We start from the raw sequence: 13,252 nt of genomic DNA on the forward strand, positions 1-13,252 counted from the left end.
CAGTGGTCATATGGGTTGCTGGCCAAAGGGAATGTATGAATTTATGAAGGAGATTATGGATGGCTGGTTATGTACATGTAGGTGGCTGGCCAGGGATGTGTGGATGTATAGAGAGATGGTTGGATGTCCAGTGAGGTGAGGGTGTCACTGACCAGTGAGCAGTGGAGGCTGCAAGATCTGTGGTCCCATTTTAAACTCCCTTTCATCCTAATTTGAAAACCACTGGCCTGGATGACCAAAGCAAAGCCTAGAGAATAGCCTGCAGGGAATGACAAATAGGAGCTAAAATGGTAATTATAGTAACTGCCTGTATCAGGGGAGCTGCAATAACATTCTCCAAAGCTCAGGGGCTTAACACTGTAGAGGTTTCTCTCTCACTCCCATCACAATCCAGTGTGAGTAGGAGGAGCACAGACATTCAGGGACCCAGCCTCCTGTTGATGGTTTCTGAATCTTCTACTGCTGGCATCTGGCCGGCAGATGAATATGGAGAGGGAGCGAGGAGAAAGCACAGCCACTTTAAATGTTGGTTGGGTGCAGTGGCTCATGCCTGTAATCCCAGCATTTTGGGAGGCCAAGGCGGGTGAATCACTTGAGGTCAGGAGTTCCAGACCAGCCTGGCCAACACGGTGAAACCCTATCTTTACTAAAAGTACAAAAATTAGCCAGGCGTGGTGGTGGGCGTCTGTAGTCCCAGCTACTTGGGAGGCTGAGGCAGGAGAATCACTTGAACCTGGGAGGCGGAAGTTGCAGTGAGCTGAGATCATGCCACTGCACTCCAGCTTGGGCGACAGAATGGGACTTGTCTAAAAAAAAAAAAAAAAATTTATGGCCCATTTCTTCTAGTGACAGCTGGTCACATGGCCCCACCTTAATGCAAGGAAGTGAGAAATATTGTTTAGAAGGGCTCCACAGACATAGTAACTAATTAACCTCTCTGAGTCACACTATATCATGAGATGTTGAGAAGGTTAAAAGAGATAATATGTGTAGAATACTTAGGACAAGTCCTGGCTCATCGCCAAGGCCCAATGAATAATAGCTATTAAATGATTAAGCCTGTGAGATAGACAAGGCAGGGACTCCTACCTCCATTTGACTGTAGGGAAACAGAATCAGAGAGGTCAGGTGGTTTACTTAGGGTCACACAGCCAGGCATTTTGTGGAATTTGGCCTGCAACCTAGGGTTCCTGCCCCCAGGTCTGTTACTCCTTCTAGTCCCTTTTGTGGAAGTTTGCAGAGGGTTGATGCTGTGGGTGGGAGAGAACAAGCTTCTTGGTTACCTTTGACCCTCACAAGGGCAGAGTCCCTGGTGCCCTTTTATAGCCTGTGAGCCATTGGCCTTGACTCACAGCAGAGCCCCATTCCTCACTGTCAGCCTTCAGCTTACGGGCCATTAACTGCATCCCTCCTGGGGCTGGACCAGATGGGCCTCCTCACTCCACAATCCCTCACACACACACTTTCCCAGTGTGTGCCATCAGCACTTATTGAACCTGTGGGCCACTTGCTGTGTGACCTTAAACAAGTGCTGTTCTGGTTCCTATACAATGAAGGTCTTGGATTCAGTTACTTCTAGGGGTCCTGCCAGCCTGATGTCCTGTGGACCCACTCTGTCTGTGGATCCCCAGCCCCTTCTCACTTCTTAGCCTCAAGTCCATCGTGTGGCTTCTTAAATCCTAGCATTCCAAGAGATCCTGGGAGTCCCCTGGGCCAGCCTCAAGGCTGTATCAGAATCCCACAACACCCCCTAAGGTGTTCATCCAGCCCAAGCCCACACTCCAGGAATGGGGAGCTCATTTCATCCTAGGCACCCTTCCTATCTCAAGAAGGAAGTCCTTGAGTTAAGCTGAAGTCTGCTTTCCTCCCAGAAGGAAGGAAGTTTTGTTTTGTTTTTGTTGTTGTTTTGAGACAGGGTCTCGCTCTGTCACCCAGGCTGGAGTGCAGCGGCACTATCCCAGCTTACTGCAGCCTCAACCTCCAGGGCTTAAGCGATCCTCCCACCTCAGCCCCCCAAGTAGCTGGGACTGCAGATATGCACCACCATACCCAGCTAATGTTTGTTTTTTTTGTAGAGATGGGGTTTTGCCATGTTGCCCAGGCTGGTCTCCAGCTCCTGGACTCAAGCAGTCCACCTGCCTCAGCCTCCCAAAGTGCTGGGATTACAGGCATGAGCCCCATGCCTGGCCAGGAGGTTCTTGTGATTAAGCTGAGACCTGCTTCCCTCTAGGGAGCCTGACCCTATCCTTGAGTCCTGGACTCCCCCACATATATGCCCCTCTTTCCCTGTGGGTACGCCAAGAGCTTGAACCCCACTATGCTAAATGCTTTAGGTACCTTAGCCTTTTCTTTTCTTTTCTTTTTTTTTTTTTTTTGAGACGGAGTCTCGCTCTGTCGCCCAGGCTGGAGTCCAGTGGCACGATCTCGGCTCACTGCAAACTCCACCTCCTGGGTTCACACCATTCTCCTGCCTCAGCCTCCCGAGGAGCTGGGACTATGGGCACCTACCACCATGCCCGGCTAATTTTTTTGTATTTTTTTTTTAGTAGAGATGGGGTTTTACCGTGTTAGCCAGGAGGGTCTCGATTTCCTGACCTCATGATCTGCCCTCCTCGGCCTCCCAAAGTGCTGGGATTACAGGCGTGAACTACCGCACCTGTCCGCCTTAGCCTATTTAATCCTTACGACAATCCTGGAGATGTGGGTACTGTCATTAGCCCCACTCCACTGAAGCTCCAAGAGGTTTAGTAATTTCCTTACACTATGTAGTAGGGCCTGAGTCCTGCTCCTAGCTCATGTTGTCTGTCTTAGCAGTCCTGTCCCCAATGGAGCTAGTTTGGAAATGGGTCAAGGTGCTTTGAGTTACTGCAATGACTGGCATTCAGTGGGCTGAGCTAAACGATTTCATTACGGCCACCCATGGACACAAAGGCTGAAAAGGGGCCAGGAGAGAACATAGGGGACCTCCCTGATGAGGGCCAATCCTGCTAGGTCTTTACGGATAACTAAGAGTTCACCAAGTACCGAAGCCGAGGAGGACACTCCAGACAGAAGAATCCCCTTGAACAAAGGCTGGGAGGAGGTGGTGGGACTTGCCCAAGCCTTGAAAGGGTGGGCAAGCAGGTGGGGGCCCCTTAGGCACACAGGCCCCTCACCCCGTCTGTCTTTCCTTGTTTCCGCGGCCCAGACGGGGCAGTGGTGTGCATGCTCCAGTTCCCCAGCCCCAGCTGGTACTGGGACACGGTGACCAAGATCTGCGTGTTCCTCTTCGCCTTCGTGGTGCCCATCCTCATCATCACCGTGTGCTATGGCCTCATGCTGCTGCGCCTGCGCAGTGTGCGCCTGCTGTCGGGCTCCAAGGAGAAGGACCGCAGCCTGCGGCGCATCACGCGCATGGTGCTGGTGGTTGTGGGCGCCTTCGTGGTGTGTTGGGCGCCCATCCACATCTTCGTCATCGTCTGGACGCTGGTGGACATCGACCGGCGCGACCCGCTGGTGGTGGCTGCGCTGCACCTGTGCATCGCGCTGGGCTACGCCAATAGCAGCCTCAACCCCGTGCTCTACGCTTTCCTCGACGAGAACTTCAAGCGCTGCTTCCGCCAGCTCTGCCGCAAGCCCTGCGGCCGCCCAGACCCCAGCAGCTTCAGCCGCGCCCGCGAAGCCACGGCCCGCGAGCGTGTCACCGCCTGCACCCCGTCCGATGGTCCCGGCGGTGGCGCTGCCGCCTGACCAGGCCATCCGGCCCCCAGAGCGCCCCTCCCTAGTGACCCGGAGGCCACATGAGTCCCAGTGGGAGGCGCGAGCCATGATGTGGAGTGGGGCAGTAGAAGGTCGGAGGCTTGGGACCGCCAGATGGGGCCTCTGTTTCGGAGACGGGACCGGGCCGCTAGATGGGCATGGGGTGGGCCTCTGGTTTGGGGCGAGGCAGAGGACAGATCAATGGCGCAGTGCCTCTGGTCTGGGTGCCCCGTCCACGGCTCTAGGTGGGGCGGGAAAGCCAGTGACTCCAGGAGAGGAGCGGGACCTGTGGCTCTACAACTGAGTCCTTAAACAGGGCATCTCCAGGAAGGCGGGGCTTCAACCTTGAGACAGCTTCGGTTTCTAACTTGGAGCCGGACTTTCGGAGTTGGGGGTCCGGGCCCAGGACCCAGAAAGGGCAGTGGTGGGGACAGTTGCTTGAAAACTGAGCTGCAAGACTGGGCCTCTGTGTAGTAGGGAGGAGCCTCCTGTGAGGGGAGACCCAGAGACAGGACAGCTGGGTGTGGCTACAGCTGAAGATTTGGTCACCAGATAGGGCGCCTGTGCAAAGGGCCTGTGGCCTCATCTTTGGATACGGGATACAGTCCCAGCCCTGAGTTCTAGCAAGGGGCAAGGCTCGCTGAGGTCCAGGTCCGACTTGACACCTTTATAAATAGAATATAAAAGACTGAGGGGCCAGGCGTGGTGGCTCAAGCCTGTAATCCCAGCACTTTGGGAGGCCGAGGCAGGTGGATGGACATGAGCCCAGGAGTTCGAGACTAGTCTGGGCAACATGGGAGACCCTGTCGCTACAAAAAATACAAAATTAGCCAGGCATGGTGGTGTGTACCTGCAGGCCTAGCTCCTTGGAAGGTGAGAGGATCACTTGATCCCAGGAGTTTGAAGCTGCAGTGAGCTATGGTGGTGCCACTGCACTCCAGCCTGGGGGACAGAGTAAGACTCTGTCTCTCAAAAAGGAGAGAGAGGGAGAATGAGGGAAGAAGAGATAGGAAGAGAGAGAAACAGTATACCTTTTATCTCTTTGACAGGCATGTATTTCCTTGGAATGGGCAGGAATCCCTCAGAATCGGTGGCCACAGTGGGGCTTGGGACAGGACAGCAGAGCGGGGGGCAGCCACTCCAGGATAGGGTAATAAGACAGGACCTTGGTTGGAGTAGGGTCCCCAGAACTGAGTACTAATGGGGGCCCAGAGGCTTGGGAAGGAGAAGGCTTCCAAAACCAGTTCGAAAACCCAGACCCGGAGTGGACCTCCGTGCCAAGGGGTGGTGGTGGGTGGGTGGAGGAAGAGGTGGGCTCCTGCTTCAAGGTTAGGTCTTCCAGTGGAAGGTGGATGCTTTCTGTGAGTCCCCAGGGCCCTAGTTTCTCTGGCCCAGATACTGGAGGACAGAGGACCACCTACTTAGATCCCGTAGATGGTAAGTGGTGCCTGGGACTCTTGAGGGCGGGGGGCGGGGTATGAGAAGCATCAGTTCGCACTTGGTGCTGGGTCCTGGGCCCTGATAAGAACCTGGATGAAATCCTCTTCCATTCTCCCAACATCTGGCTGCATCCATGTGTCTGGTGTCAATGACTCCAGTGAACTGGAACTGCCCATATGGGGACCTGACCTTGAAGGAACTGGGGGGAGAAGCTTTTGTAACTGCAATGCCGGCATCAGTGTGTGTCCCCCTCTGCCTTTCCCCCCAGGCTCCCCAGGTCCCCCACCTGCTCCAGCCCAGCTGTCCCCTTCACGCTGCTGAGAGTGATATCCACCTGGAGTTGGGTGTAGAAGTTTTTCTTTTCATTGGTTCGGCATTTTATTCAGGCACTCCTGGATCTTTGCTTCCCAGAATATCAGTGTCTGTCCTTGTTCTCTGTACCTCCCCCGTGCCTCATCTCCTCTCCCTCCGCTGCTGTCCCCTCCCTCACCAACACTGCCTCAGTAATGCACCCCTGACTCCCTATTGAAGCAGTGTGCTGACATCCTTGTAAAAACAAATTTAATTTTCTTCCTTTTTTGGGACAGATGGAAAGAAATTGACGTCTTTGTCTCAAACAAAAGAAAAAAGAAAAAGAAACAATATACTTCTTTTCCCTTTGACAGCCATGTCTTTGGAACAAAAGCTGGGAGGCTGTCACTCCAGCAGGGACTGAATAGCATGCAGGGGGCTGGGGACTTAGGCACCAAGAGGGGCTTTGGGCACATTAGGGGGAAGGGATGCTCTCAGAGGGCAAAGCACAGCCCCCTTCTCAGGGTGAGGCTCCCAGCAGCCCCAGACCCGGGGATGTGCCTCCTTTGGGAAATGGCTACCCCGGGTCCTGGAAAGATGTGGGGCCATGCCCAGCACTCACATCCAGCCTGCCAAGCCATTGTGACCTGGGGTCCCAAGCCACCTAGATCACTCTCACTACCTTGTGACCACAGAGACCCCTGTGTCTGAGGGTGGGAGGTCGTCAGCATGGCAGGAGACACTTCTCCTCATCAGGGGTCCTCCTGTGAATGCTTTGGGGGTATGGCAGAAAAAGGGACAATCTAGGAACTGGGGAAGACTCCTGAAGGAGGTGACATTGGAGCCAGGCTGTTTACTCTCCCTGCAGGACCTGTGTCCCCTCCCAGGATAGGCCTGTTTCAAGGCTGCTTGAAGCCCACTCACTGCCATCTCCTGTGTCTGTAACAGATCTGGCTGTTTTTTGCCCCTTCTGATATGTAAATCTGTCCTGAGGTCAGCAGGGCCCGGGTCCGGACCACGTGTGTTTAAGGTAGTGCAAACTTGTATTGAAATCTACTTCATGCCAAGCATGCACTCTGGGCATCAGGACTCGGAATGAGTCAGCCTTGGCCCTGCCCTCAGAAAGCCTGAGCCAGTGTTGGGAGATAAAGCATCAACAGATGATTGCACCTCAGTGTGATGAGTGCGGTGACAGGGAGCCCCAGGGAGGGTGTCACAGGGAAGTGCCTTTTCTAGCTTTTCACTAAAACACATGTTTGTCGCAGTTCTGTAAGAGGTGGAAAAGGGTCGGGGACCCTGAAGGATGAATAGGAGTTGGCCACCAAAAAGAGGAAATAGCGTGTGCGGAGGCATGGGGATGTTTAAATGCTTGGCAAACCCAACAAGTTGGGTGCAGCTGGAGCATGGGGCTTAACTAAGCTCTTCTGTGTGCCAGGCTCTCTGCCAGGTGTCTTGTGTGCATCAGCCCACCTGATCCTCAGGACAGCCTGGTGAGGAAGTAGTGTTATCCCCATTGAGGACAAAGAGAGCTGAGGCTGAGAGAGGTCAGGCTACTTGCTCCTAAGTCACAGGGCCTGTTCGTAGTGGCAGAACTTGGGTCCCTGGAATTCCAGGGTCCATGTTTCCAGTTAATTCCAGGCATCAGTGAAGTAGAAAGGCCTTAGAAGCTGGAACCCCAGAATGAGGTTTTGAAGACCTAAAACCAAATGGAAAAATCTAAAGGAAACGAGCAATTTTCCATGAACTTTTGTTCCTCCTGAAGCTCTCCAAATCTTCACGTTTCAGAATGTACTGTGCATGGTGCATTTTAAAGCTCTAAATTGACAGTGTAATTCTAGATCGTCACAGGGTTCTCAAAACTGCAGAGTAGGTCTGTTTCCCCCAAAATTTCCATTTATCTCCCTCCAGGAGGAGGGAGGGAAGTTTTTGCCCCTGATTTCAAAATGTCCTACTGTTTCAGATCTCTTCTTCTTCATCATCTTTTTTTTTTTTTTTTCAGCCAGTGTCTTGCTCTGTTGCCCAGTCTGGAGTGCAAGTGCAGTGGTGCAGTCATAGCTCACTGCAGTCTCAAACTCCTGGGCTCAAGTGATCTTCCCACCTCAGCCTCCTGAGAATCTGGGACGACGGGTGTGTGACACCATGCCCAGCAATTTTATTTTTATTTTTATTCATTTATTTTGTTTGGGTTTTTTTTTTTCTGAGACAGGGTCTCCCTCTGTCGCATAGGCTGGAGTGCAGTGGCACCATCTCGGCTCATTGCAACCTCCGCCTCCTGGGTTCAAGTCATCCTCCCGCCTCAGCCTCCTGAGTAGCTGGGATTACAGGTGTGCACCACCATAACCCAGCTAATATTTTTATTTTTAGTAGAGACGGGGTTTCACCATTTGGCCAAACTGGTCTCGAACTCCTGACCTCAGGGGATCTGCCCGCCTCAGCTTCCCAAAGTGCTGGGATTACAGGCGTGAGCCACCAAGCCCGGCCAATTTTTTTTTTTTTCAATAGAGACCAGAGTGTCTCTGTGTTGCCCAGACTGGTCTTGAACTTCTGTCCTCAAGCAATTCTCCTGCCTTGGCCTCCCAAAGTACTGGGTTTACAGGTGTGAGCCACTGTGCCCAGCTCTCATACCTCGTCTTGATGCAGTAGAAGTAGTGGTTAAGCCTGGAATCAGATCTTGGTTTTCCCTCTCTGAGCCTCAGTTTCCTCATCTGTAGAGTAGACTTCCTTCACGGGTGGTTGTGAGGATTTAATGTATGTATAGGGATAAGGCCCAGAACGTAAGTAAACTCTAAGTACATGGTAAGTGGCAGTCACTGCTTACAAGTGGAGCCAGGGTTCAGGGTCAGAGCTAGAGACCTACAGGGAAGAGTAGGTGAGCTGTCGGGGCTAGTGATGGAGAGAGAGAAGAGACTGGAGATCCAGCTTGGGGATCCCCTTGCTTCCTGGCCCAGGAGCCACCATGGAGAGTGAGAAGCTGCCAGAGAAGCAGGAGGAGGATGGAGAGAATGTGCTACCATGGAAACTGGAGGAGGAGGGCGTTCCCAGGAGGAGGGAGTGATGGATAATGTCAAGTGTCATAAGAGAGGATGCGAGTAGGGAGGGCAGGAGGGTGATGGGAGCTCTCCAATTTAGTTTTTTACATGGCCCAGGCAGCCCCCAAGCCTGGATCAAATCCCAGCTCTCAAGCTAACTGGCTGTGTGACCTAGACAAGGGATTTGCCTTCTCTGAGCTTCAGTTTCCTTCTAGAGTTGAGATGTGGGAATTGGTCCATCTCTAATACGATCATCAGCCTCACTTAATAAGAGTCCTAGCTTTGCCGAATTCTTGGCCACGTGCTAGCAGTGTGATCTTAGGCAAGTCACTTCACCTCCACGAGAGCACTCTCTGAAAGCTAGAGATATGGTAAGCAAAGTGCCACCAAAGTGCCTGGCACATAGTGGGGCCTCGATACAGGCTTATTCTCTGATAATTACACGTGTGCCAGAGGCAGCTGCTCTAAGGAGGCTTGCTGGGCTTGGAATTAGAAATGCTCCTCAAGGGCTGGGTGCAGTGGCTCACGCCTGTAATCCTAGCACTTTGGGAGGCCAAGGCGGGTGGATCATGAGGTCAGGAGTTCAACACCAGCCTGACCAACATGGTGAAACCCTGTCTGTACTAAAAACACAAAAATTAGCCAGGCGTGGTGGCGTGCACCTGTAATCCCAGCTACTCAGGAGGCTGAGGCGGGAGAATCGCCTGAACCCAGGAAGCAGAGGTTACAGTGAGCCAAGATCTTGCCACTGTACTCCAGCCTGGGCGACAGAGCGAGACTCTGTCTGAAAAAAAAAAAAAATTAAAAAGAAATGCTCCTCAAGTTGGAGAGGGCCCACTAGCATCCTGAGAGGACTTGGAAGAACAACAGTCCAGGCTGGGCACCTGCTGGGTCTCTGTCCAAAGGCCAGCCCTCTCTTTGTGTCAGCCGCAGATCCCTCACCTAGGGCATGACTACTGGCTGCCAGCTCCCACTAACACCTGCTGCAGATCCAGACTGAAGCCGGCCCCAGCGGCCCCAAAGCCCCTAGGAAGTGACCACCCCCCATCCCTGGCACCCAGATCCTGGCCCCTGCACTCACACACAAAACACATACAGATGCCTCTCTTTCATCATGTATTTATTCCTTTATTTCTGGGAGCCGGGAGGAGTGACGGGAGCAAATCAGGACCTGGCCGCCCCACGCTGAGCTTGCAGATATTGAGAGTTGGGTGACAGATGGCTGTGTGGTTCAGGCTGCAGGCAGCTTGGGAATTCAAAATGGGGCTTAGAGAGGAGCTGGAGGGGGCCCTCGAGGTGGACGTAGTGATGCAGTAGGGCATGGCACTGCGAGGTTGCCCGGGTTCTAGTCCCAGCACCATCACCGGGGATGAGCCGTTTCAGAGTGTGGCACTCTGTCACACTCCATTTCATTGAGAGGCCACTGAGACATTATCAATGGGTAATGTACAGCACTTCCATGGCATAACTCATTTAATCTTCACAGCATGATGATGAGGTAGGCATAGTATCATTACCTCCATTTTACAGATGGGGAAACTGAGGCTCAGAGAAGGGAATGACTTGCCCAAGACCACATGGCTTCTCAGTGATTGGCTCAGCTAGGATCCCACCTTTGGTCCTTCAAGTCCACTTCCTCTGCTTTCCTCTTCCTGCACCCTGAGAGGAAATGCTCTGAGTATACCGAGGGTCCTCAGGAGACTCTCACATCCAGCTCACAGTCACAGGCTGAGCATTCCCTGTGCTGGGTTCTGTACCTCATCATGTTGGCAGCAGAGGCACGTGCCAGCTGCTCAAAAAACTGCTGTAACCTTGGTAGATCCCTCTCCCCATCCATTTCTTCCTTGCCTTGGAAGTCCTGCTTGTTTGATAATTTTCTGACTGACTGCCATGTTGTTGCCTTGTGACCTTGGGCATGTCATTTCACTCTGAGCCATTTCTCAGTCATGGATGACAGCACTTAGCTGATGAGAAGTTGAGAAGATTCAGAAAGAGGCTATGAGTGAAGGACCTTGTCTGTTTTGGTCATGAAAGTGTTCCCAGGAAATGCAAATGGACACACAGTAGTTATCTACTGAGCTAATGAACAATGTCCCTGGTGCATAGTAAGTGCCCAATAAAATGCAGCTTTTTTCATATTATCTAATGTTTTAGGCCATGCCTGCACCAACCCATGCTTCTTTTTTTTTTTCTTTCTTTCTTTCTTTTTTTTTTTTTAAGACAGAGTCTCACTCTGTCACCCAGGCTGAAGTGCAATGGCGAGATCTCGGCTCACTGCAACCTCCGCCGCCCGGGTTCAAGCAATTCTCCTGCCTCAGCCTGCTGAGTAGCTGGGATTACAGGCACGTGCCCGGCTAATTTTGTATTTTTAGTAGAGACGGGGTTTCGCCGTGTTGGCCAGGCTGGTCTCGAACTCCTGACCTCAACTGATCCACCCACCTCGGCCTCCCAAAGTGCTAGGATTACAGGCATGAGCCACCGTGCCCAGCCCAACCCATGGTTCTTAATGCTGCAGGTGGGTCCGGAGAAAGGCTTTTCTCTTTTAACCATCTCCTTGAATTTCAGAAGGTGGGACAACATGTGCTGGAAAGCAGTTCTTAAGAGGACATCTTTTCCCAAGCTCCTTAGCCTTAGCTGTCCTCTCCTGCCCTCACCAGGACTGCCCTCTCAGGGACCCAAGAGGAAGGGACAGCCTGGAAAGGAAGAAGGTCCCGGGCCATCTGCGTCATGGGGATGGAGTCCCTTGGCGTGTGCCGGTGCAAATACACTCCTGTAACGGGGCTCATCTAGAATCTCCTCTCGGAATGAGGAGACCGCAAATGTGGTTTTGAATCTTCATTGTCCACTTCATTGCTGTGGTGTTGGGCAGGTCTCTGTCCCTCTCTGGGCCTCTGCACGATGGAGGGGTAGGAGTTGATGGTTCTGAAGGCTCTGCCATCCTGGAAAAGAACTGAGACACTTCCCTCATGTTCCTGGGTCCCAGAAACAGACATCTGTTGGTAAAATCTACTGGGCATTTGCCCAGAGACAGGGAAAAGAATGCCTGGGGGTCTGTAATAGGAGCTGCCCCAATTAGGGGCAGGGAGGCGGGCATGTAAAAAAGGAAGCTTAAAGCTTTGTTTTCAGGCTTTTTGCCTACCCCAGGCTCCATCTTGGTACCAAGTACTCAACCTTCTGTTTTCTCAATAAAGTGAGCCCTCTTCTCGGTGTCTGCATCTCTGGCTGTTTTGTTTGCTTACCTCTGCCAGGTTCCCTTGTAAGGGGCCCCCAGTCTGGGGGATCACATAAGCCTATGGGGAAGTCTGGCTCTGCCCTGAGGATGTGTCTCAGAGGGAGAGGCAATGTTGTCCTTAAGAACCCTAGTTTGGACCAGGTGTGGTGGCTCACGCCTGTAATCCCAGCACTTTGGGAGGCTGAGGCGGGTGGATCACGAGGTCAGGAGTTCAAGACCAGCCTGGCCAAGATGGTGAAACCCCGTCTCTACTAAAAATACAAAAATTAGCCGGGCATGGTGGTGGGTGCTTGTAATCCCGCCTACTCAGGAGGCTAAGGCAGAGAATAGCTTGAACCCGGGAGGCGGAGGTTGCAGTGAACCGAGATTGCGCCATTGCACTCCAGCCTGGGCGACAAAATGAGACTGTCTAAAAAAAAAAAAAAAAAGGCTCTAGTTTAATGGGAGAGACAGACACACAGGCAGGCATTTCCTAGAGCGAGCTCTGAACCAAACCAGGCCTCGGTGCTCCATTCCCCTTCCACCCTCTGAACTGGCGCCTCCCCTTCCCTGCAGCCCTCCCCCCCGCCACTCCCCTAATCTAAGTCCCTTGTTCTCCAGAGCCCTCCCCACCCCACATGCCTCTTGGGGCTCCACTAAATCTCTCTCCCATCTCTCTGCCCCTCAGTGACCCTTCCTTCAGGCCATAGAAGCACCAGACCTCCTTGTGTGCATTCAAGTTGGCCCTGGGGTGGGAGTTAGAACCCCGTTCCCCAGGAGACTTCTGCCTCCTCAGTGTTCTCAAATAGTCGCTGGCCCCTGTGGTTAATAAGTAACTCCCTGGAAGGCAATTCTTTCCTGACCCAGATCTGTTTCCCATCACATGTGACCCATCCTTAGGAGGCCACCAGAGCCTGGAGCCTCCCCCAGCCCTGGGGCAACTTCCCTTCAAAGTCCTCAACCCAGGGCCACTCACCTTCGGGCCTGTTCATGTCAAGGTGATGAGCACCAAGGCAGATGGGCAGCCCTGATGCAGACTGGGATCTCAGCATGCCTCAGGGCAGGCTGTGTGGGCAGGGCCAGGGCGACCAGGCTGCCCGGGGGTAGGAGTTGGGGTGGCTTCTTGGCCCCACTCTGCTCATAGAGAGAGACTCAGTCAGGAAGACTTCACAGAGGCCTGACAGATCTAGTCAGAGCCAACTCCCACCAAAGCTGGGAAGGACAGCTGTGAAGGTGAGAGAGAGAGAGAGTGTGTGTGTATGTGTGTGTGTATGTGTGTGTGAGCACACAGCATGAGTGAGAGCATCTCGGTGTTGATGTGAATGTATACAGAGATTTTTTTTTTTTTGAGAGGGAGTCTTGCTCTGTCGTCCAGGCTGGAGTGCAGTGGCGCCATCTCATCTCACCACAACCTCCAACTGTTGGGTTCAAGAGATTCTCCTGCTCCACCTCCCTAGTAGCTGGGATTACAGGCACTCGCCACCATGCCCGGCTAGTTTTTGTATTTTTAGTAGAGACTGGGGTCTCACCATGTTGGCCAGGC

General features: G+C 52.9%; 1 protein-coding gene across 1 annotated transcript in view; it reads left to right on the top strand.

The window, feature by feature from the left end:
* The window catches only part of OPRD1 (opioid receptor delta 1), a 59,098-nt gene extending 47,385 nt beyond the window's left edge, over positions 1-11,713 (top strand). The window contains exon 3 of the mRNA NM_000911.4: positions 3,188-11,713. Coding sequence (NP_000902.3) covers positions 3,188-3,729 — 542 coding nt within the window. The 3' untranslated portion in view covers positions 3,730-11,713. The remainder of the gene's footprint in view (positions 1-3,187) is intronic.
* The last annotated feature ends 1,539 nt before the right edge of the window (positions 11,714-13,252 follow it).

This window comes from Homo sapiens, chromosome 1 (genome assembly GCF_000001405.40).
Source record: "Homo sapiens chromosome 1, GRCh38.p14 Primary Assembly".
NCBI lineage: Eukaryota > Metazoa > Chordata > Mammalia > Primates > Hominidae > Homo > Homo sapiens.